Below are 26,707 nucleotides of genomic sequence, written 5' to 3' on the forward strand. Positions count from 1 at the left end.
ACTTTTATACGCACTGTTATCTATATGAGATAATCAGACAGTTCTATCTCTCTTCTAATGCTCACTTAAAACACAAAAGATGTTGATGAGCAAATGCAGTGGAGTGGCCCAAATGTACTGTCTTTAGGGATTTTATTTTTTTAAGTTAGACATACCATTAAAAGGCTGGGTGCATCTAGAGAATTACAATTAGCGATCAGGAAGTTGTAGAATAATTTTGTAGATTTTAAAATGAGGACTACACACTGAATATATCATCTGTATAACTTTATAGTACTACCTGATATATTTTGGCAGTTATTGATGAAGTCTAAAATTTTAATCACTGATAAATATATTTTATAGGTTTATAAGGAACACAGGGACAGATGAATTATTCTTACAGGAGTTTGAGACCAGCCTGGCCAACATGGTGAAACCCTGTCTCTACTAAAAATACAAAAATTAGCCAGGCATGGTAGCACATGCCTGTAATCTCAGCTACTCAGGAGGCTGAGGCAGGAGGATCACTTGAACTTGGGAGGCAGAGGTTGCAGTAAGCCAAGATCACGCCACTGCACTCCAGCCTGGGTGACAGAGCTAGACTCTGTCTCAAAAAAAAAAAGGAAAGAAAATTAAATTATTTTAAAGCTGGTGATTCAAAGTAATAAATAGTTGGATCCAATATATTTTTCCCTGAAGTTTTACCTTTATTTTAGAAATGTGAGCTTAAAGGAGGAAAACAAGAAGAGAGAGGCATGTAGTGTAGTGGTTAGAAACATAGATGCAGGAGTTTGCAGCCTAGGTTTCATACTTTTGTCATGTGGCTTTGAGTGAGTTACTAAATTTCTTTGTGCCTCATCTTAAAATGGGAATAACTGTATATGGTTGTTATGATTAAATTTATTCATATGTCAAATATGCTTAGAAGAGTGCCTTGTATATTATAAGCCTAATGTAACTATTTTTGCTGCTGCTGCTGATTACTGTTATGTTCTATTGTTCTATATACCCCTAGCAGACTATAGTATCCATTCATCCTTAGCAGTTTGTCTGCCAAGTAATATTTTCTTCTTGGTTCACACTAGAGACCTAGATTACCTCAGGGATGAACATATTTAACTCAAAATGCCTTTGATAATAATGCTAAGTACTAAAATTACCCAAATTGTAATTTTTAGAGTGATAAATGTCAGCTTAAAATGTTATTCATTTTATTGTTTATTTAGTATGAACTTTGCATATGTAGGTTGTAGAGGTTCATTTATAACATCTGATAACTTCCAGCAAATCAAAGGACCTGATTCAATGGTAAAATACTTTGAATAAGGAACTCTAGATTTTTAGTATGCTGAACATTTTTAAGCTCCTAATTTAGAAAAATTAGAACAGCTGTCCTCAACATTGGATTTGTGGGTGTATAGTTTTCTAGACCTGCTGTAAGAAAATACTAGAGGCTGGGTGGCATAAACAACAGAAATTAATTTTCTCATAGTTCTGGAGGCTAAAAGTCCAAGATCAAGGTGTTGCCAGGTTTAGTTTTCCTGAGGCCTGTCTCCTTAGCTTGCAGTTGGCTGCCTTCTTATGGTGTCCTCACGTGGCCTTTCCTCATGTGCTTCCCTGGTGTCTCTTCCTCTTAAAAGGACATCAGTCATATCATATTAGGGACCCCACCCTAAAGGCCTCATTTTAACTTAACCACTTTTAAAAAGACTATCTTCAAATATGGTTACATTCTGAGGTACTGGGGGGTTGGGATTACAACATATGAATTTTAGGGGGATGCAGTTCAAATCATAAAAGTGAGTGTACCATCAAGAAGTAAAGTCTCAAAAATGACTGCTGTTTAAAACATAAATTTTACAGTCAGAACATTAATTTGCTACCAAGAAAGACTTAATGAAATAATCACTTTAAATAGCTAATTTCACCATATTCATAAAATTTAAATAACATTTTATATACTAGTCATATAAAGAAAGTTAATAGTAATTCATTATTTTATTTTCCAAGTATTTATTGTACACCTTCTATGAGTCAGTCTGAAGATCTTTCTTAAGCATTTCTTGTAATTCAGGTCTGCTAGCAACAAACTCTCTTAGTTTTTGTGTATGACACAGCTTTTATTTCACCTTCATTTTTAAAAAATAGTTTTACTGGATATAGGATTCTTGATTGACAGATTATTTTTAATTTCAGTACTTTGCATCATTCCACTGCCTTCTGTCCTAATTGTTTATGATGCAAAGTCAGCTGTTAATCTCACTGTGACCTCCTTGAATGTAATGAGTCATTTTTCTCTTGTGATTTTTAAGACTTTCTCTTTGTTTTTGTCTTTTAACGTTTTGCTATGATATGTCTGAGGGTGGATATTTTTGTGTTTATCCTGCTTGGAGTTTGTTGACTATCTTGGTTGTGGAAATTTGTGTTTTTCATCAAATTTGATAAGTTTTTAGCCATATTTCTTTGAATTTTTTTCTGTTCTTTCTCTCTCTCCTCTCTTTCTGGTTCTTCCAGTGTGCGTTTGTTGGTGGGCTTAATGGTATTCCACATTTCTCTTAGGCTTTGTTCATTTTCCTTCATTTTTTTTTCTGTCATAATATTTCCAGAGTGTATAATTTCTATTAATCTGTCTTCAAATTTACAGATTATTTTATCTCTCAACTTAAATTTACTTTTGGGCCCCTCTAGTTAATTTTTTATTTCAGTAGTTTTCAACTCTAGAATTTCCATTAAAAATAATTTCTGTCTGTTTGTTGGTATTATCTATTTGATGAATCACTGTCATTATACATTAAAAAATCATTTGAACATGGTTTCCTTTAGTTCTTTTCACATATTTATAATGGGTGCTTTAGAAATATTTGCCTGCTAAGTCCAATATCTGGGCCCTTCAAAGACAGTTTCTGTTGCCTCCAATTTTTTTGGTTTGGTCACACTTTTTCTCTTTCTTTGCATGTGCCATAATTTTTTCTTGAAAAATTGGACATTTAAGATACTGTATTGTGACAACTCTGGATACTATCTCTCTCTTTTATTTTCTAAGAATTATTTTGGTTGTTTCTTTGGTCATTTATTTGCTTGGTGACTTCTCTGGACTAGTTTTATGATGCATATTTTCTTTGCAGCATGAAGTTTCTAATGTTACTGTTCAGATTTTTGTTTGGTTTTTATCTTTTAGTGTGCCTCTTTAGGGGATGCCTTTGTCTCTTTATAAAACACTAGCCAAAGACATGTGTGTGGCTACTAAAACAGTGCAGGTACTTTACAATTTGGTCCTGCATTCAGCCATTGACTAGTAGCTTAGAGGTTCTGTCTGTGGTTGCTTCTGAGAGGGCACAGCCTTTGGCAGGCACAGTTTTTCAAATCACCAGGGATGAGTGTGATTATATTTTTCAGTTTGATTTCCTAGGAGTCACCACTAAGTCGGTATAACTTATTGTTCAGTAAGTGTTTGATCAGAGTTGTACTTAAGCCCTGTGAGCAAGTAAGGATTCTGTATTATATTGACGGATCTATGTGTGTTGTTTGTGAAATTCTTTCAAGTGTTCCCCATATCCTACTCCGATTAGTACTGAGTGGGTGCAGCCTAATACATGTGAACAGACTTCTGGATCTCCAGGGGTGAGTGCGATCCCAAAAAGGCTCTTGGCTGTCTCTTTTCCTGGTTCTCTCTGTTAAATTTTTGGCTAATTTGCCATTTCATTTGTTGCTACTGATATCACAGAGCTCCCCACCTTAACTGTTAATCACCAAAATCTCCATTGTTCCTGGGAGTGCCTTTAGGAATGAATTTCTCCAGGCTTTTTCCAAATAAAGTCATTCCTCTCAGTCAGAGCTTCAGAGCTCTTCATTCTTTTTTTTTTTTTTTTGAGATGTTAGAAATCTCTACACTTTATTTTTTTTTATTATTATACTTTAAGTTTTAGGGTACATGTACACAATGTGCAGGTTAGGTGATTTCTCAGGGATCTAGAACTAGAAATACCATTTGACCCAGCCATCCCATTACTGGGTATATACCCAAAGGACTATAAATCATGCTGCTATAAAGACACATGCACACGTATGTTTATTGTGGCACTATTCACAATAGCAAAGACTTGGAACCAACCCAAATGTCCAACAATGCTAGACTGGATTAAGAAAATGTGGCACATATACACCATGGAATACTATGCAGCCATAAAAAATGATGAGTTCATGTCCTTTGTAGGGACATGGATGAAATTGGAAATCATCATTCTCAGTAAACTATCGCAAAAACAAAAAACCAAACACCGCGTAGTCTCACTCATAGGTGGGAATTGAACAATGAGATCACATGGACACAGGAAGGGGAACATCACACTCTGGGGACTGTTGTGGGGTGGGGAGGGGGGAGGGATAGCATTGGGAGATATACCTAATGCTAGATGACGAGTTAATGGGTGCAGTGCACCAGCATGGCACGTGTATACAGAGCTCTTCATTCTTACAACCTGCCTTCCCCCTTGAGCAGAGACTTTGTGCCACTGAACTGAAGCTGGAGGTATGGACATTGACTTGCTTCTCCCAAGTGACATCCTTGCTATACGAGTGGGCACTGGTGGCAGCCCCTGATTTCCTTGGCTTGTCCTTGTGAGGTGGGGAAGGGGAAGGAGTGGTGCTAGTATTACCAGCCTGTGATGCTTGGAGTAGAGCCCTTGCCCTGTGAGTGGTAGCTGAGTGGGGGAAGGGAGTCCCAATCTTTTCAGCCATTCCCCCAAGAATTGTGCTTCTATACACAGGAATGGGGATGGGGAGAAGAGATGCTGGCAGGATGAAATGATAGTCCTAGGAGCTTGGCAGAGCTGGTGAGGACTGTTTTTTTTTTTTTTGTTGTTGTTGTTGTTTTTTTGCCATACCCACCTGGATTAGAGCACCCGGGTTATCTATCGCATAAAGCTGGGGGTGTATGGGATCAGCTGCCACAGACTTTCACTGTTCTTACTGAGATTTAGGAGAATTTCCTAAATAAAAGTTTTTTTTTTTTCATTTTCTGTGTGCCCTTAGGACAATTTTCAGAGAGTTTAAATCTGTGTGTGTTCTATTTTTAGTAACTTTAACTAGTTAAATGGTTATCTTCCTGGGATGAGGGTGCAGTAGAATCTTCACATCACCTTTCTGAAATTCTCTCCAGAGACTACACTGATTGTTTCAGCTAGACTCCATATCATTAATTCCCATTGCCTTGAGTGGGGATAGCTTTTGGGGAAATATTATGCTCCAGTGACCCTATTGAAACAGATGCAATAACATTTTAACACAAGATAATTCTAGGAGTTGCAAATCGTTCTATTTGCATGTACAGTTAAAAGAAAGTAAAAGACTTGCATAGTTTAGAAATAAGTACAAAACTATTTTAGCTTTTAAAATATTTATAGAATAATTATTAAGATAATTGTTTTGAGTATAGAATATATTTTCCATAAATAATGATCCCTTACTATACTGTTGTACTATAAAATGACATATTTTGAAATTTGTTTATTTTCATATTTAGTTTATTCTGAACTGCTCTGTTGCCATGTCAATTGATTTTTGGGTAAGACAGTTTAATCTTTGTTTCTTAAATTCACAAAAACTATTTTCCCACAGAATCCCAACCCCACACTTTTTTATTTTTTAGAGAGATTATTTTGGTCCAGACAACAGGCTACCAACTAGGCTTGCTGTTTGTGTGTGTGTGTGCATGTGCACACATGTGTGATGAGGAGGCCATGGGAAATGGTCTCTCCTCCAGGCTTATCAGGAACGGGACACCTGTTTGGAAATAGGTTGTGTGTATTACTTGGAACACAATTATAGATGCATTGAAAGCCAGGAAAGAAGTCAGATTATAGGGTATGATCCACTGGAATTAGTAAACCACAAATAGTTACTGATTGTCACTGTTTCCCACTGCCAAAGGTCAAAGGTCATTGTGTGATTATGCTATAATGTTGTATTTGCTACTAACCTTAAGGTAATTGTTATGGGTTGAATTGTGTTCCCCAGAAAAAGGATATGTTGGAGCCGTAGCCTCTAGTACCTCAGAATGTAACCTTATTTGGAGGTAGGGCCTTTATAAAGCTAATCAAGTTAAAATGAGGTCATTAAATTGGGCCCTAATCTACTATGACTGGTGTTCTTATAAAAAGGGGAAATTTGGACGTAGGTAAACATATACATAGGAAAACAACATGTGAACATGAAAGCAGAGATTAGAGTGATGTGCCTGTAAGCCAAGGGCCACCAAACATTGCCAGCAAACCACCAGTAGCTAGGAGAGAGGGATGGAACAGATTCTTTCTCACTGTCCTCGGAAGAAACCAACCCTGCTGACATGTTGATCCTGCAGTCCTAGCTTCCAGAAATGGGAGAGAATCTATTTCTATTGTTTAAGCCACCCATTTTGTGGTGTTTTGTTACAGCAGCCCCAGGAAACTTATGTAGTAACTTCTCATATTATGTTGCATAATTTTAAAAAATCTTTTAAAATAAGTATTATGTGCTATATCCATTACTATAAATACATTCTGGGTTATAGGTTATGTTATTGCTTGTTGATACTTGACAGTCTTCCCTAATATCTAAAATTTCTTTGCCCTTCCCTTACTAAAATGTCTTAACACTAATAGTGTTGGCATGAAGATATGTAAGTTTGTTGGGACAATATTTGGTGCCATGAATATTTTGATAACTGTGTGACATCTTTTAGAGTCACCATCATCTTTTCTTTCAGGAAATGTTTAGGTAGGACTTAAAACACCCTTATAATTGAGAAAAGGACAATTTTGGAAGATAAATTATTGTGGCCAAACAAGAAAGACCAGCAACTTCAACATAGCTAGTTCTATTTTCATTTTAATTTTTAAATTTTTTTGTTTTTTGTTCTCTTACAAGGATTTTATGGGTCAAGTTAGGCTTTTTTTTTTTTTAGAAATTATTTTGCAACTTGGATCACTATCACTTTAATTCAATTTTTGGCTAACTCAAATTTGCTGAGCAAGAGAATACAGTTATTTGTGCACGCAGTAGTAAGGGAAAGAAAATGAATGACTTGTAACAGATCTGTGCTTACAAATGTCAAAGTTGTCAATGAGTCACTGACTTTAAAAGGTCATACCATTTTATGCTTCTACCTCTTAAACTTAGTAATAAAGACAGGATATGTGCTATACTTCCTACTCTTAATGCATTTGTATCCCAATTTTCCATGTCAAAGTTTGGCTTTACCACCTGCCACTGTTTTTATATGATTCCTTCCAAGTCAAGCCTTTCCTCTCCTCTGAGATGTTTATTAATCTTCAAGAGGTGCTGTCACTAAGGCCTCAGACTGTGGAATTTTTAATAATATTTGGCTAATAGTGATACGTGTGATTGATTTGGACAGCCCCTCAATCTCAGAAATAAAATTGGGTAAGAATTATATGAACTCTAGGATCATTGTTAAAATTCTGGTCAGCACAATTTAGTAAGCAGATTGTGTTATATTCCTTTTCTGCATGTCAAGTAGGTCAAACGTGAATTGTTTTATTCCAGATCTTTATATCTATTTTACTTATGTTTGTGTACTTGACTGGTCATGAACTGAAAGAAGAATATTATAGTCTCCTACTGTGATTGTAGACTTATTTTTGCATTTCTGTCAGATTTTATTTTAGACTCCCTAGAATTTCAAGATATATCTTGACTATATGCTTCATCATATAAAACATCCTAATTATATATACATCCTCATTTTAAAATAACATTTGACCTTTAGTTCTAATTGGTCTGATTTATTATTATTAATTATGATATTTACTTTTAAAAAATATGTTAATATCTCCATTTTTTTTTTTTGAGACGGAGTCTCGCTCTGTCGCCAGGCTGGAGTGCAGTGGCCCGATCTGGGCCCACTGCAACCTCTGCCTCCCAGGTTCAAGCCATTCACCTGCCTCAGCCTCTTGAGTAGCTAGGACTACAGGCATGTGCCACCACGCCTGGATCATTTTTTGTATTTTTAGTAGAGACGGGGTTTCACCATGTTGGCCAGGATGGTCTCTAACTCCAGACCTTGTGATCCGCCCATCTTGGCCTCCCAAGGTGCTAGGATTACGGGAGTGAGCCTCTGCGCCCAGCTTAATATCTCTGTATTTTTATTCTGAGCATTTTGTTTTGGATATGTCCTAGATAGATAGCTTATAGCTGAGTTTAGTAATGCAATATGAGTTTCTATTTTTATTTACTTATTTATTTTTATTTTATCCTCCCTGGGTTACTCCTTATTTATTTATTTATGTATTTATTTATTTTTATTATACTTTAAGTTCTGGGGTACATGTGCAGAACGTACAGTTTTGTTACATAAGTATACTTGTGCTATGGTAGTTTGCTGCACCCATCAACCCATCGCCTACATTAGGTATTTCTCCGAATGCTATCCCTGCCCTAGCCTCCTACCCCCAACAGACCTCTGTGTGTGATATTCCCCTCCCTGTGTCCATGTGTTCTCATTGTTCAACATCCATTTATGAGTGAGAAGATGCAGTGTTTGGTTTTCTGTTCCTGTGTTAGTTTGCTGAGAATGATGGTTTCCAGCTTCATCCATGTCCCTGCAAAGGACATTAACTCATCCTTTTTTATGGCTACATAGTATTCCATGATGTATATGTGCCACATTTTCTTTATCCACTCTATCATTGATGGACATTTGGATTTTTGCAGTTATGAATAGTGCTGCAATAAACATACATGTGCATGTGTCTTTATAGTAGAATGATTTACAATCCTTTGGGTATATACCCAGTAATGGGATGGCTGGGTAAAATGGTATTTCTGGTTCTAGATCCTTGAGGAATCACCACACTGTCTTCCACAATGGTTGAGCTAATTTACACTCCCACCAACAGTGTAAAAGCATTCCTATTTCTCCACATCCTCTCCAGCATCTGTTGTCTCCTGACTTTTTAATGATCGCCATTCTCGTCTTTCATAGTCCTTCAGTTTTAAGACTAGCTATGGGAGTTTGCCTTCCATTATTTTCTTGATTGTTTTTCCTTCTCTATTCCTTGTGATCATTTCTTACGGAGCTTTGACAGATGAAGGCTGGATCATCTGGGTTCATCCTCCATCTGCCTTCTGTTTTCTAGGACTTCTTTGTTATATCTGATATGCTGATGGCACTTGTTCTTATTCTCTATACATGTGAAGTTTTTTCTTTATAAAATATAAAATATTGAAAAAATTCTAGGTATATTTTAGGTGGAAATAGGAATCGGGCATATTTTTGATCTGCCTTCTTGTATTACTTTTATAAACAGAATCATAAATTTAAATTATAGGAATAAAGTGCTTTTATTGTGATATCACCTATTTCTACTATCACGTCTGGGATGGTCACTTATAGAGCTCATCTAAGATGACTATTACACTGTAAAATTTTATCTTAAGAAACTTTTCCTTCATAGGTAGAGTTTCCTTTGGAAGAATAAAGGGGCAAAAACTGACCACTTTAAAAGTTAGTACTTTGTCTAGAGCTGATGGAAGATTTGAAAATCACATTCAAAGGCTTTCACCTTGAGCTGCTTTTACCCTTGCTACCTGAAGATGACATTTTTACACCAGGAAACAATTTTTATTTCTATTTTTTATCCATCAGAGTTAGCCACTCTAGTCTCCTAAGCCCTAAGGTATAATATTAACAGACTCTATTCTATAAGCAACTTTGAGATTTCTGATTTATCCCTGTCCTTAAAGGGTTATTAGTCTTTCAAATATTTACCAGTGTGATAGATCTTAAATGATTTCATATTGTTTTGAGTTTCATTTCCCAAATTACTAGTGAAGTTGAACATTATTTTTATGTTTATTATCTAGTTGAGTTTCCTCTTCTGTGAATTACCTATGCATTCCTGTAGTCTGTTTTCTACTGGATCATCTTTTTTGTCGATTCATAAACATTTTATATACATATGTATATAATAAAATTAATACTGTATTATTTCTTTGTTAGTTTTATGTATTACAACTATCTTCTACAAGCCTAAAGCTTGCCTTTTAAAAGTTTGTTTATTGGTGAGGTGGCGGGCGCCTGTAGTCCCAGCTACTCAGGAGGCTGAGGGAGGAGAATGATGTGAACCTGGGAGGCAGAGCTTGCAGTGAGCTGAGATCGCGCCACTGCATTCCAGCCTGGGCGACAGAGCGAGACTGCGTCTCAAAAAATAAATAAATAAATAAATAAATAAAATAATAAAATAAATAAAAGTTTGTTTATTATATCCTTTATCACACAATGTTGTTTCATTTTAATATACTCCCAATTCGTCAGTCTTTTTTTTTATGGTTTATTTTTTTATTTTATGTTTTTTATTTTATGTTTATTTATTTTATGGTTTATTCTTTTTGTCTTTTCTTATCTCAGTGGCATGATGATAGTTTTCTATATTTCTTGTGTTAGACGTTTGCATTTCATCACCAATTGCCCCAGCAGTGCTTATCAAATAGTTCATTCTTTTCTCACTTATTTAGGAAAGAATGTAATACCATTTCTACCGTAAACCATCATATATGGGTTCTTCTGAATAGTAATGATCCACTATTATAATCACTATGGTTGTATAGTTTTGATGGATGTTAGGGCAAGTCTGGATTGCTGGCCAGGTAAATTTCTACCCCCACTCCCTTTTTCTTTTTCAAAATTGTCCTGGAAATTTCTTGACTGTGTACTTAAAAGTGAATTTTAAGCTAGGCACTGTGGCATGCATCTGTAAATGCACCCGTAATCCCAGCTACTTGAGCCAGGAGTTTGAGACCAGCCTAGGCAACACAACAAGACCTTGTCCCAAAAAAAGAGAATTTTAGTTTCAGCTTGTCAAATTCTTTGGGGATTTGATTAACATTCCATTGAGTTTATAATTTTGAGGGAATTGCCACTTCTAAATTCTGAAATTTCTATCAAAGAATATAGCAGTACATCAATACTTTTATTAGGGCTTTTTTTCTTTTTATTAGTAAAGTTTTAGAATATTCTTCACAAACACCTCCACACTCCACATATTTATTACATTTATCCTTGGTATCTTTTAGTTTTTGTTTATATGATAAATACCTTAGAAGTTATTTCGAAATATTCGTTACTGGCATTTGAGAATATGATGTGTCTTTGAATATTAATTTTTTTCTGAGACAGGGTCTCACTCTGTCATCTAGGCTGGAGTACAGTGGCATCATCATGTCTCACTGAAGCCTCAATCACCCAGGCTCAGGTGATCCTCCCACCTTAGCCTCCTGGGCAGCTGAAACTGCAGACGTGCACCATCACTCCCAGCTGATTTTTGTATTTTTTGTAGAGATGGAGTCTTGCCACATTGGTCACAGTCCACCCCTTCGGCCAAAAATTTATCCTGCGCTTCTGGGGTTGTGTTATCTGCCCCCCTGGGCAGCCTTTGGGGAAGTCGGATTCCATACCCTGTGACCTGGGCTTCATTTGGACCTAGAAGTAGTGGGAGGAGCCACTTTGACTACTGCGGGGTGGTCCTAAGGAAGGCCATTCTGAAGCTTGCCTGGGTGAGATAGGTGGTGGTGTCAGGAGATGAAGAGATGGGCTGGTGGGCAGCTAGATTCTGACAAGCATCCAAGGCCCAGGAGATGTTGGGGTGGAGTAACTCTGAAAAGGTGCATAAGCTGATGCCAGTGGAGTAACCATGAGGCTAGTGAACTATTATGCATCTCCTGAAGTAAAACAACCTCTCTTTATTGCTCAAAAAAACCAAATATATGTACTAACAGTCAGATTTTTAAGGACTTGAATGGCTTTATCACCAATGGTATGGGCTACGGTTGATCTATGGTTTTTGCCATCACACCAATAATGCCCTTGGCTGGTGGTTTTGAATGTCTTTACCATAAATTTTATAAGGGATTGTGACTGTTTATCAGGCATTTAGTTTGTCATGGTGTAAGATTGACCAGACAATTGCTCATGTAAGAATTTGTAGGTTATGATTTGATGAATTGGATGACTGCTGCTACTAGGGAGCAATTTTCGTTTGCCTTTTCTTTGATAATTCACTGGAAAACTGTGAATAATAATATTGCATATAAAAGAGACAAAGATGGATAAAGGTAGACGGGAATAAATTTTCTCTGTAAGTAGGAAACAGCTATGAATCTCTTATTAAATTTTGTAGGCAGGGAGCCTGCAACTCTGAGCATGAGTTCTTATTAGTTCTTATTATAAGAAAAATTTAGATCAGTTATGGACTTACCATTCTAAAGCAATCAGAGTTGAAATTTTTCATATTTTGACCACATTTTGCAGAGGGAGAAGGGTAAAAGAAAAAGCTGTTATTGAAATTTGTAAGCATATAGTTCATAGTTGAAAGCAGCGGAGACCAGATTTGGCTGATTTGAGTAGAAAATTATTTATTCAAAGGACATTGGGCTTTGCCAGTCTTGGGACTATGCAGATGGGAACAACAGTCCAATCATTCTGCAGAACTAGCTCAGTAGGGACATTGCTGTCACTGCTGCAAAGAACTACAGCTTGCACTGTTGACATTGCTAGCAATGGCCTCCAGAAGCTGCCATCAGCTCTGCTATCCCTGCTACCTAAACACTTGATTTTTGTGACAGCCATCTCCATTACCATAGATAATTTATTCCTTCTGCACCTCACCAGACAAGGGAAACAAGACTGCCTTGGCCAGCAAGGGACTGTCAGGGGATTTGGTGGGTTCAGGGAACTTATGACATCCAAATTTATTCATTTGCCTCCATTCTATATCTCAGTTTTGTTCTATCCAGATCAGTGCTTTTACTTTCACATAAGTGATCTCAGTGGGCTGTGAATTCAACTGACATTGTAATTTAGAAACCTGCAGGATCAAAGTTTGAGTCTGATTTTCAGTTATCTCAGCCCTGCGGCTGAAAGCGATAAGAGATTCTTTTAGCAGTCAGAGAAACATGGGATTTCACTTCATGCCTCTAGCCAAGAATTTGTGATTTCAGCTTGTCATTCTTTTGCTTGAAGCCGTGAAGCAGAGTTAGAAGCAACCTCCATGCCTCACAGTTCTTGAATTCCTATGCTGTTTGTACACTTGTGTGGCAGTTGCCTACGTCCTTATTAGCCTTGCCTTCAATGAGAACTTCTTGAAGGTGACAACATGTGCAATGGACTTTCAGATTCCCATTCCTTAATACTGGCTAATTTTTGTTGGTTTTACTTTTTATTCAATTCAATTTTTCGAAGGGACCATTGCCTGCAGTTACAACTGCTACCAATTTATGTGTTAGTGTTTTTAGTTAAAAGCAACTCTGTCTGATGTAAGCAGAAAATGAATTCATTATAAGGACACTCAGTTGCACAGAATTTCTGGGGCTACAGAGCTAGGAACAATACCTAAAATCATGACCTGAAAGGACACCACTGCTGTGCTGCTGAGCCTGTGCTGTACTTTGCATCATTAACAGCAGTATTAATGGACCCTGGATTGGGGCTACTAGCACTGCTGCCATTGCTACCCCAGGAATATTATCATGGTCCAACTCCTGTCATTGCCAGAGTAAATTGCTCACATTGTCCCCTACTTTGCATCACTTCTTTACAGTTCAAGATCCAAGCGATGCATTTGATAAGTGCAAAGTGGGTCTTAAGTCCATGCTCTTGCTGCCAGGGCCACTAAGGAGGTGAGTATGTGGCATTTTCTTTTTTATAGTGTGTGGCAGTCTCTGCCACTTACCTCATACCTTCCTTCATAAGGTGGAGAAAATCAAAACATAGGAAGTAGGTTGTGGCAAATACTATAGGCTGGCTCACTCAATACCCATTCCAATCTTCTGCTAGATTGATCTTCACCTAGGAAGTGATGAATTATGTTCCTAGGTTCCATAGCTGCTGCAGAGTTGTACAAGACTGCAACTGGAGCCAAGTCACCTGATGTGGTGGTTGCATGCAGGGAGACTAGAGCTTATGTAAGCATGCTTGTGAAGGTGACTTGAGCATTTTTTTCTTTTCTGTTTAAAATTGACACATAATAGACATACATATGATATTTTGATACATTAATATGTAACGATCAAATCAAGGTAATTGGTGTATTTATTACTTTAAACATTTACCTTTTCTTTATGCTGGGAATGTTCAAATTATTCTCTTCCAGCTATTTTGAAATATACACCACATTATTGTTTACTCTAGTCAACCTACTGATTTATTGAACACTAGGTCTTTTTTTAAAAATTGATAAATAATAGATGTCCATATTTTCAGGCTACTTGTGATAATTTGATACATTCATATAACTAAGTCAGGGTAATTGGAATATTCATCACCTTATATATTTATCTGTTCTTTATGCTAGAAACATGCAAATTATTCTCTTCTAGCTATTTTGAAATGCACAATAGATTAATGTTTGTAGCATCACGCTACTGATACATCAAACACCAGGTCTTATTTCTTGTTTCTAATGGCATATTTGTACCTGTCAATTAACCTCTATTCATCCCTTCCTCACTGACCCTTCCTGGCCTCTGATAACCACTAATCCACTCTATCTTCATGTGATCCAATTTTTAGCTCCCATATATGAATGACAATGTGCAATATTTGTCTTTCTGTGTTTGGCTTATTTCACTTAACATAATAACCTCTACTTCCATCCATGTTGCTGCAAATGACAGGATTTTATTATTTTTAATGGCTGAATGACATTCCATTGTATATATATAAAACCACATTTTCTTTATTCATCCATTGATAGGTACTTAGGTTGATTCCATATTTTGCCTATTGTGGATTAATGCTACAATAAACATGGGAGTGCAGATATTTTATTGATATATTGTTTCATTTCTTTTGGCTATATACCCAGTAGTGGAATTACTAGATCACGTGATAGTTCTGTTTTCAATTTTTTGAGGAACCTCCATACTGATTTCTATAGTCGCTGTACTTTGCATTCCTCAGCATGTACAAGGGTTTCCTTTTCTCCACATCCTTGCCAGTATCCATTATTGCCTGTTTTTTTTAATAAAAGCCACTCTAACTGGGGTCAAATGATATCTCACTGTGGTTTTGATTTGCTTTTCTCTGATGATTAGTGATATTGAACTTTTAAAAAAATACTTTTTGGCCATTTGAATGTCTTCTTATAAATATTTATTCAGCTCTTTCACCCAATTTTTAATTGGATTTCTTTTTTGCAATTGAGTTGTTTCAGCTCCTTATATTTTCTGGTTATTAATTCCTTGTCAGATGAATAGTTTGCTAATATTTTTTCTTATTCTGTGGGTTGTCTCCTTACTTTACGATTGTTTCCTTTGTGGTGCAGAAGCCTTTTAGCTTGATGTAATCCTATTTGTCTTCTTTGCTTTTGTTGCCTGTGCTTTTGAAGTTTTACACAAGAAAAATCTTTGCTCAGGCCAATGTCCTGCAGCATTTCCCCAACATTTTCTAATGTTTTCGTATTTTCAAGTCTTAGATTTAAGTCTTCAATCCATTTTGATTTTATTTTTGTATATAGTGAGAGATAAGTGACTAGGTTTATTCTCTATATGGATATCCAGTTTTCCCAGAAGCATTTATTAAAGAGGCTGTCCTTGCCCCACTGTATGTTCTGGGAGCCTTTGTTGAAAGTGAATTGGCTGTAAATGCATGGATTTATATCTGAGTACTCTATTTTGTTCCATTGGTCTATGTATTTTTAAGACAGTACCATGTTGATTTGGTTATCATAGCTTTGTAGTATATTTTGAAGACAGGTAGTGTGATGCCTCTAGCTTCATTTTTTTCCCTCAGGGTTTCTTTGGCTCTCTTTTTGGTTCCATATACATTTTAGTTTTTTTTGTTTGTTTGTTTCTTTGAAGAATGACATTGGGGTTTTGATAAGGATTGCATTGAATCTGTCAATTTCTTTGGGTAGAATGGTCATTTTAATAATATCGATTCTTTTAATCCATGAGCATGGACTATCTTTCCATTTTTTTGTCCTCTTTAATTTTTTTCATCATAGTTTTATAATTTTCTTTGTATAATCATTCACATCTTTGCTCAATTGATTCCTAGGTATTTAAAGCTCTTTGTAACTATTCTAAATGGGATGGCTTTCTTAATTTTTTTTTCAGATTGTTTGCTGTTGAAGTATACAATCCAAGGATCTTTGTTGATTTTGTGTCCTGCAACCTTACTGAATTCATTTATCAGCTCTAACATGGTTTTTGTTTGTTTGTTTAGTGAAGTCTTTAGGTTTTGCTAAATATAAGATGATGTTGTCTGCATGCAAGGCTAATATAACTTCCTCCTTTCCAATTTGAATGTTCTTCATTTTTTTTCCCTTGACTAATTACTCTCGTGAGGACTTCAGTATTATGCTGAATAAAAATGGTAAAGTGGGCGCTCTTGTCTTGTTCTTAGATGTTTTTTGAAGTCTTTCCTCTAAGACATTTTTTTCCTGTTCAGTATGATGTTGGCTGTGGGTTTGTCATATATGACCTTTATTATTTTGAGGTATGTTCATTCTATACCCAGTTTTTAAAAAATTATAAAAGGATGTTAAATTTCATTGAATGCTTTTTTGGCATCTATTCAAATGGCCATATGGTTTTTGTTCTTGATTCTGTTAATGTGACCTATCATTTGTGTATGTAGTGCCATCCTTGCATCTCTGGGATGAATCTTACTTCATTATGGTCAATGATGTTTTTAATATATTGTTGAATTTGGCTTGCAGTATTTTGTTGAAAATTTTGGCATCTATGCTGATCAGTGGTATTGGCCTGTAGTTTTCTTTATTTAATTGTATCCTTGTCTTGTTTTGGTATCAGGATAATGCTGGCCTTGTAGAATGAGTGTGAAAGTGTTTCCTTCTCTTCATTTTTTTGAAGAGTTTGAATATAATTGATATTCATTCTTCTTTAAATATTTGATAGATTTCAGCATTGAAGCTGCTGGGCTTAGCTTTTCTTTGAGGGGAGATTTTTTTATTATGGCATTACTTGTTAATGGTTTGTTGAGGTTTTCTACTTCCTCATGGTTCAATCTTGGTAGGTTGTATGTGTCCAGGAATTTATCTATTTCTTCTAGGTTTTCCAATTTTTTGGCATATAGTTGTTCATAATAGGCTTTAATGATTCTTTGTGGGTTTTTTTTGTATTCTCAATTGTTATGTCTTCTTTTTCATTTCTGATTTTATTTATTTGAGTTTTCTTTTTTCTTAGTCTAGCTAACAGTTTGTCAATTTTGTTTAATCTTTTAAAAACCAACCTTGCATTTCATTCATCTTCTGTATTTTTTTAGTATCAGTTTCATTTATTTCTGCTTTGATCTTTATTTTTTATTTTTTTCTACTAATTTTGAGTTCAGTTTGCTATTGCTTTTCTAGTTCCTTGGGTGCATCCTTAGATTATTTGAAGTTTTTCTACTTTTTTGATGTAGGTATTTATTGCAATAAACTTCCCTCTTAGATACTGCTTTTGCTGTAATCTATGGATTTGGTATGTTGTATTTTTATTTTCATTTGTTTCAAGAAATTTTAAAATTTATTTCTTATCTTTTTTACTGGCCTATTGGCCATTCAGAAGCATGTATTAAAATTTCCTTTATTTGTGTAGCTTTTGAGAATGTGTAGTTTCTGAGATTCCTCTTTTAATTGATTTTTAGTTTTATTCCATTGTGGCCAGAAGAGATACTTGATGTGATTTTTGTTTTCTGAATTTTTAAAATTTCTCTGTTTGTTTAGATTTGTTTTGTGACCTAAGATCTGGTTTATTCTGGAAATTGTCCCATGTGCTGATGAAAATAATGTGTATTGAATTGTAGCAGTTGGGTAAAATGTTCAGAAAATATTAGTTAGGCCTATTAGGTTAGTGTGCAGTTTAACTCCACTGTTCCTTTGTTGATTTTCTATCCTGATCATCTTTTCATTACTGAGAGTGGGGTACTGAAGCCCCTATTATTGCTGTATTGCTGTCGATCTCCTCTTTTAGCTCTACTGCTGTTTACTTTATATACTTGGGTGCTCCAGTGTTGGGTGTACAGATATTTATAATTGTTATATTCTCTTGTTATATTAACCCTTTTCTCACTATATAGTAACCTTTGTCTCTTTGTGTAGTTTGTCTTTTTTTATAGTTTTTCACTTATACTGTATTTTTTCTGATACATGTATAGCTACTTCTGTTTTTTACTTGCATGAAATATCATTCCCAACATTTCACTTTTAGTTTATGTCTGTCTTTATAGGTGAGGTAGTTTTTCTGCAGGCAGCATTAGTTATGTCTTGATTCTTTATCCGTTCAGCTTTTCCATGTCTTTAAATTGGAGTACTGAGGCCATTTACTTTCACTGTTAGTATTGGTAAATAAGGACTTACTACTGCTATTTTTATAGCTTGTTTTGTGGTTGTTTAGCAACTCCTCTCCTCCTTATTGTCTTTCTTTGTGATTATGTGACTTTCTATGGTAGTGTGTTTTAATTTGTTGCTTTTATTTTTGTATGTCTATTATAGGTTTTTTTCATTGTCCTTATCTTGAGGCTTACAAAAAAATTTTATAGGTTAACCAGTTATTTTAAAGGGATGACAACTTAGATCACACACACATAGAATAGAAGCAAACAAACAAAAAACCTTTATACTTTAATTCTGTTCCTCCTCCACCACCATTTTGACTTTTGGTTGTCTCAATTTACATTTTTATATTGCCTATCTCTTAAAAGGTTGTTGTAGTATTATTGTTTTTGATATATTTGTCTTTTGGGCTTTATACTAGACATGAGCGGATTGCACACAATTGCTGTATTGGAGTATTCTGGCATTGTCTTTGTGCTTAATTTTGCCAATGGGTTTTATACCTTTAATTGTTTTATTCATGCACATTAGTGTTTTTTTCTTTCAGATTGAAGAACATCTTTTAGCCATTCCCGTAAGATGGGTTGGTGGTGGCGAATTCTCTCAACTTTTCTTTGTCTGGGAAAGACTTTATCTCTTCTTCATATTTGAAGGTTAGGTTTGCTAGATATAGTATTCTTGGATGGCAATTGTTTTCTTAGAGCACTCAGGAAATGTTGGCCCACTCCCTCCTGGCCTGTATGGTTTCTGTTGAGAAGTCTTTTGCTAGATCAATTGGAGCTCCTTTATATGTCATTCACTTTTTATCTTGTGCTGCTTTGGGGATCCTCTCTTTATCCTTGACCTTTGAGAGTTTGATTATTACACCCTGCCTTGGGATAGTCCTATTTGGTTTGAATCTGTTTGGTGTTCTCAGACCTTCCTGTACCTGGATATCTATATCCTACTTAAATTGTGGAGAGTTTTCCATTATTATTTATTTTAATAAGCTTTCTTTTCTTTGTTCTTGGTCAACTACCTCTTGAACATCAATAATTCTTAGATATTGTCTTTTGAGGTAATTTTCTGTATATTGTAGGTGATCTTCATTCCTTTTCATTCTTTTTTCTCCTCTGACTGTGTAATTTCAAATAGCCTGTCTTTGAGCTCACTGATTTTGTCCTCTGCATGGTCTATACTAGTGTTGAGAGACCAATGAATTTTTTATCTCAGCAAGTATATTTGTCAGTCCCAAGATTTCTGTTCTGTTTTTAATAATTTTAACCTGTTAAATTTTAATCATTTTAATCTCTTCGTTAAATTTTTCTATTAAATTTCTGAATTGCTTTTATGTGTTATCTTGGTTATCACTGAGTCTCCTTAAAACTGCTGTTTTGAATTCTTGGTCAGAGAGCTCACATATTGATATCTTGTTAGAATCAGTCACTGGTTCCTTGCTTTGTCTGGTTGGGGAAGTCATGGTTCCCTGTTTGCTGTTGTTCCTTATGGGTGTATATTTAAGTCTTTGCATTGAAGGATTAGCTATCTATTCCAGTCTTCTCTATCTGGCTTGTTTTGTTTTTATTAGTTATGTTTGCTTAGAGATATTTTGCAATTTACCTGTTGAATTTTTAAATTATTTTGTCTGCTGGGTCACTGCTTTCTTTTTAGCACTAGATGGCACCTTAATACCAGCTTGGCCTTGGCTCTAACAAACAACTGTATTGCTGCCCATCCCAAATGGCTGAGGTCCCATAGATGATATTCTGGCAGTGTGGAAGGTGGGCTAGGGGTTCAAGTCTGAGGGACCTGTGGGACAAACAGTGTGGCACTGCTGAACAGCCACTCTGATTTGGCATCTTCTAGGTCAAGTTACAGAGCAGTGTTTCCAGGGCTGGGATGATAGTCCCATCTCCCACCTTTGTGTATGGCCATTCTCAGGGGTATTTCCCCCTTCAGGCACTTCTGATGCTTTCTGTGGGCTGAAGCAGGGACAAGTCACCTTCAGGGAATCCAACATGAGGGGAAGCTAGTTGTTCACCCTTTTCCAGTGTAGAAACTGTGAATCAGGGGGAATGTTTCTAGTGTAGAAACCATGAATCAGGGAAAATTTTCCACATGCTTGGTGTCAGGCAGATTGGAGGAAAGGGTGTTGCAGATATTGAAACCTGAGTCTCTTAGTGATTGCTTGGATTTTTTTTTTCATGTTTCTGTGGTGTTGGGAACTGACTCATCCTCATATTTGAGTTCTGGGATATTGCTGGTGAAAATCTTGGCGCTCTATATTTGCTTTTGGCTTTCTCTGTGTATGTGTTATGGGGTGGGTGTGGGTGTGGAATGAAACCAGCTTGCTTCTCTGCCACCATTTTGGTATTAGAAGTCATTACATCTTATTTCTTCAATCTAACTGTAATTTTGTACACATTAATTTACCTCTCTTCATCCCCCTTCACCCCCTACCCTAACCACTTTCATATATTCTCTATGTGAATATGACTTTTTCCAGAGTGACTGTGGACAAATTCTGGCATTCAGAATCAAGTGTACAAAATGGTGAGTAAGGTTGGCAATGGAGTTTCTTAGAGCAGCCCCACAATGTGCTATGCTTTTTTTTTCTCACTGTTTATTTCTTAGCTTATTGACCCTATCTATTTGCCTTCAAGTTTTGTTCTTTGGGCCTTTTAGGGATTCTGTGGGCTAGCTAATAACCTTCTACAAAGCCTTTTCTGCTAAAAATATCTCAGTTCAATACTATTGTTTGCAAGTATAAGCCTGACTAATGGAGAGTTTCAGGTGGTAGGTGTTGCACCCCGCCCCCCCACCAAAAAAATGATAAATACCTCCTCTGCTAAAATATACATGTAGAGATTGGGAGTGTTGGTCTTCACTCAGTATTTGTAAAAAAAATGGATTAACAGACCTAGAGAATGTGCACAACCGTTGGTTGTGACAGCAAAATATTCTACTGTACTAGTCAACCTGTGAGTTTCAAGCCTCAAATGCTATATGACACATTGGATGCATAATTAAGCTGCAGCATTGCATTAATATCAATAACTAGCATTTGTTGAGTGCTCACCAGACAGTGCTATATAGGTTATTTTATAAGTTATTTTATGTAATCCTCAAAATAAACCTTTGAAGTATTTACTAGTGGCATCTCTATTTTATAGAAGAGGAAATTAAGGTTTAGACCAGTTTAAGTACTTTCCCATGGTCAATCTGTTTGGTAGGCAGGAATGGGATATGGACCTATATCTATCTGACCCTAGATTTCTCATTATGCCATTAAACAACACTGGCTCTTACTGTTATTGAATGTAGATTTAACTGGTCTGCTCAGTATTGCAGAGAATTTGATGAGGAAATTATGATGGAGGATGCATACTTAACAAAGAAAATCTCCTGGATGGATCTTTCCTATACAGGAATTGTGAAAATCTTCCCTGAGACAGGTAAGTTATGCTGATTGTGTTTGAAAACCTTGCCACTCAAAGCATGTTCCAGGGACCAGCAGCACTGGCATCAGCTGGCAGTTTGTTAGAAATGGCTTTGCGTATGAGAGAATGAAATAGGAATAGCAAATAAAGAATATCGAGAAGCCTTCTGGATGGAGTCTTGGATCTTGTTGTATAGGAGATTTTTTTTTTAGTGTCCTAATGAAAATTTTTGTATGTCTAGGCAAGATTGCAGAGTAGACTAGATGTATAATTTAATGTTATTTTCTAATTTATTTTTCTTCTCTCCTTTTAATTGCAGTATAAATGTACAGTATCATATATGTATACCCATATAAGCAAAAGACACTAATAGAACAAGAGTAGCAGGACCTACTTATGAGCTCAGGTCTCCTTATTATCTCGTGAGCATTTACTAATACCTTTATTCTTACAAAGCTTGATATTCTAAGTAGTATTAAAGGGTCTGTAAGACACATGGTACCTAAGAGATAATTCACATCATAGCTATCACTGACTTAGACCAATATCTCATCTTCTTTGTTTCATCTTTGTCATGACTCTGGGTATAGACTTTCCTTGAAAACGTCACCTAAATTCTCATTTCAGGAGGCACCTGCCTGTCACAGATACCAGTCAGGGAAAAAGAACACATAAGGATTTCCTGCTGGAACCCGAAAGCTTTTTCTGCAGTCCAGGTGGTTCTGATAGCCCTTACCAGATGTCTGTCCAGAGCCATTAAGTCTTGGCATGCTTGCTCTTGGGAAAATATTAAGCCATCTCACCCATGAGCAAGTGCTGAATGAATGGAAAGTTTCCAGCTGTGTGCCCAGAAAAAAATGTTTAATGAAGACAACTGATGTCTTTGAATGGTTTATTTTCTCAATTGTTTTTGAGGCTACAGCTTACATATCAATACTTCCGAGGGACTAAGTATACAAGAAAGACACTTAAAATGAAACCCTTAGTATATATTAGGACAATGTCCTCATTTTTATGTTCTCATTTACTTTACTATTGAAATTTTTAGAATGATTTATCAAGATTCTTTTATTATTATTTATTATTTTCCTCTGCCTAAATAAATGGGGGTAAAATCTAAAACCATTTACTTATGAGTAAATATGATTGAGGAGGTTTCTATATGCTTATATTTTAAAACAGAACAAAAAAACAAAAAATACCTACAAAGTTGGTGTTGAACTTAATTGAACCATGCTGCACTGACCCTTCTCACTTCTGACTCCTGTTTGCCCTTGGCTTCCTCTGTCACCTCTCCCTTCTTCATGTCCCATGCTCAGACTTTCGGAACCAGGTTTCCCTACCATGTTATGTTGTTTCATAGCTCTTCCTCTCACTTCTTTCTCTGTGTAAAATGCATCTCTTCCCTGTTTACATTTGGAATGCCTTCTCATTTTCAAAGGTGCATCTGGTTTCTCTACTGAATAGAACCTTTCCCAATTTCCCAATAGAGAACTTAACTACCCCTCACTTGGTGCCTACCCTGTACCCCAAATCCCCGATAAAACAATCTTTACATGGATGTTGAGTAAATAGTGACAAAGTGAAACAATGAAAGGAACCAATAAGATTCCTTAACTCTTTAACTAATGATGTATTAATAGGACCAGAAAATTACAGGAAAGAATCATTTTTTTCTTTTGCTTATATTTATGCCCTATTTGTCTATTATGCGGAAAACATTATGGTTCGGAGCCCATGGCTTATTCATGTTTGTACATCCAATGTTCTCTCCGGTGCTAATTTTGATCATCTGCTCAAAATAATGATTTTGAGCAGATGATCAAATAATGATTTCATTGAAAAACATCACTTCATTGGCTTGGTACTTTTATCGTGACCTTAGATTTCTTGTATATACTACCTTTATATGTTATCTGAGGAGATTTGTTTTTATATAAAGGTTCTTAATAAATTTTCTTCAAATGTCAGGATCAAGAGCATAGGCATATTTGCTCTGGAATGTTTATCCTATTCTTCACTGATGATCAATTTAGAGTGTGTCTGTTCAGGCAAGAATAAACAGAGCAAATGATCTCTTTTTCCCATATGAGCTCTTGAATTTCACTTTTCCCTAGAATGAAAAGTGCTTCTTGCCAATAGAGGATTTTTTATACTGTCATTTAAAAAATGGATTTTCTTTTATCAAACCAATAACCTTTATATGTGCATTGTTTTCTCCTACATGGAGCCTTGAGATCAGCTTTCACAGATTCTGTTTTGTGGTGAGTGCTGTCAGTGTAGAAGGATGTCATTTGTCATGCCTTAGAGACTGTGTAGCACCCCTTCTTTCTTTTGCTAAATAAGAAAAATAAGCTGCTCTCTGCCCAAGCAAGACAAATGTACTTGGGATACCTATTCTTTCCTGTGATTTCTCTGGACTTGCATCACTGGTTTAAGATTTAAGGCATCTTCTTGGTTCTTTACTTTTCATTGTTTCACAGCTCTTTGCTACTGTTTACTCAATATCCATGTAAAGATTGTTTAATGGACACTTTGAAAACTTCACAATTGTAAAGCAGTCCAGGTTTGTTGTTTGTGGTGTCATTCTATCTTTCTTTTCTCTGTTGTTTTCCTCCCTTCTGACCCTTGATCAACTAATGAGTGTCCTTACACCCTGACTACTCAGTTCTCCCCACAACTCTGCCTATCCTAGTGTGCTAGTCTCTCAATGACAAAGTCATTCTTCTTTCTCCTCCAACTAAAACGCTCACTAGTTGATTGTCAAGCAGAAAATCTCTCTGATTAACTCCCTCCCTCCAAGTAACTACTGATTGTTAATGGCCCAATATCTTATTCTTCTAGGATGAAAATGAACATTGTGAAATAGGTGACAACTTTATGTGACAAATGCATTTACCAAGGACATAACTCTATGATTGTGGTATTTCACACATCATGAGGTGGAACACTGGGGTTGTTTCTAGAAGGGATGTGTAAGCTACTGCCTATTCCCATTTGTTTAAGGATTTTTCAGTCTTAGAATTGTTCATTTCTATTCTTCTTCCATGGAGGAATCTAAATGCTGTTATGTCACGGTAACTAACTGCATTGTGCTTCATATATTATCATGTAGATTACAGGGCAAGTTATTTTGTTTTCTAAAACATTACTGGTAGAACATAAAGAACAGTAGCAATAAGACTATTAACTTCTTAATTGTTCCTGGATACCATTATTATACATTCAAATTTTGGTGAAGCCTCTGATCAGAGTATTTAAAGGTGTGTGTATTTAAAAACTTGTGACATAGATCATATATTAAAAATAGTCTGCTTCAGATTATTCTCTGGGAACAAAACAATGGAGTAGATGGAAGGAGCTTAGTCATCAAAGCATTTCTTACATAATAGATATGACAATGGTAAAAATAGATGAAAATTGAAGGAAAAGAGATGAAGCGTAGAGAATAGTTTTAAGGAAACTATACAAACAGACAGCAGATGTCACTGTTGCTTTTTCATTATCATTAATCTTTTTTTGGGTTTTGTTCCTAGTTAATGACATTTTTCATTTTATTTGAGAACTCTAATAGGTTAATCAAGTTCACGTATGCTGAACTTCTGTTTTGAATGTTATGTTTATTAAGGTTATGCCTATAAACTTTGCATATATAATTATAAAGAAGATACTTTGTATGCTGAGGACCATTAATTTAATATTATAAATTGACAAAATAATTTTTATAATAAACATCATCTGATTCAGAATAGTTTCCTAATAAAATAAAGTGTTAATCATCTTGAAGAACAGCTGGTCTTGATCTTCTTTTAAATGACCAGTCATATCATTTGTTCTCTTTATTGTGAATACTGAAATACATATCACCAAATCTTCTCTGTGATGATGATCTAAGAGATTTTTTTTACCATGTGAACACAACCAGCCAGTTTTATGTAGAACCTGAGAAACACGTTCCACATCAACTTCCAAAACACTATTCACCCCCCCCGTTTCATTTTCTCTCCTTGATCAGTTCAACTCTAGCTTTCAATTACAGTGTTTCCTCTTCAAGCTGCTGTGTAGGATGCACAAACCTCAATTTCTCATCTTCCTATCTAATCATTTACCAGATCCTGTTGATTCTAACTTCTGTGTTTTTATTTCTTTTCTCTTCTTCTTTTCTTTTCTCAAAGACAGGGTCTCTCTCTCTGTCACCCAGGCTGGTGTGCAGTACCTTTGTAAAGGCACTACAACAGTGTGCATTTCTAAAATCAACTTCCTTTTTATCACAAACTTTAAACTTCATAGTACACAGCTAAGTATGTGACACACATGCACACATTTCTGTAGGAAGAATAACTTGGACAGTTTTTCAGTTTCAGTGGGGCTCCATTATTTCATGAGAATGAAATGAGGCAACCTTGGTTTTAATGTGGAAAAAAATTCAGCAAGAACTAGTAATAATACAATGAGAGTTTCTAAAGATTTCTTTTTCATAAAATCTAATTCTATTGTCATTTTTAATTCAAAAGACTACAACTTTACTGTTATATTCTTAAACATAGTAAGCCTGTTTTTTTTTTTAAATCTATAAAATAAGGAACTTGGGTAAAATGTTCCTAATGTGCTTTTCATAGATAAAATTCTATTATTCAATAGGAAGTACTGAAAGGCGTACTTAGGATTGCTTATTTCTCTTACAAAAACCTCATCAGTATATGTTCTATGCTTCTATAAAAATGTATTACAGATGATTACTTTTAGAACTAAAATGAAAATATATATTAAGCACTTACTGGGGAATTAGGATTTTTATAATCATAGGACAGTAGTGAAAATTACTTGAAATCTGTTATAACTGAAAAACAATTCAAGGAATTTAATGACATTAATCTTTACATTTGAAGATAAGCCTGTGACTGTGTATATGTTGTAACTGTTACAATAAATGATAAAAACTAGCTTCTATTTTGGATTTTGTTATCTTGATTG

At 35.6% G+C, this 26,707-nt stretch overlaps 1 long non-coding RNA gene across 13 annotated transcripts in view; it reads left to right on the forward strand.

Moving 5' to 3' along the window:
- Positions 1-26,707, forward strand: part of LOC105370461 (uncharacterized) — a 433,650-nt gene that overhangs the window by 124,132 nt on the left and 282,811 nt on the right. The window contains exons 3-4 of one of the 13 annotated variants that reach the window (XR_007064124.1): positions 21,637-21,748; positions 22,361-26,676. The exons of the other annotated variants lie outside the window; for them this stretch is intronic. This is a non-coding gene — a long non-coding RNA (uncharacterized LOC105370461). Of the gene's footprint in view, positions 1-21,636; positions 21,749-22,360; positions 26,677-26,707 lie in introns of those variants that run through there. 13 annotated transcript variants of the gene reach the window in all.

The sequence above is a fragment of the Homo sapiens genome, chromosome 14 (genome assembly GCF_000001405.40).
Source record: "Homo sapiens chromosome 14, GRCh38.p14 Primary Assembly".
Taxonomy (NCBI): Eukaryota; Metazoa; Chordata; class Mammalia; order Primates; family Hominidae; genus Homo; species Homo sapiens.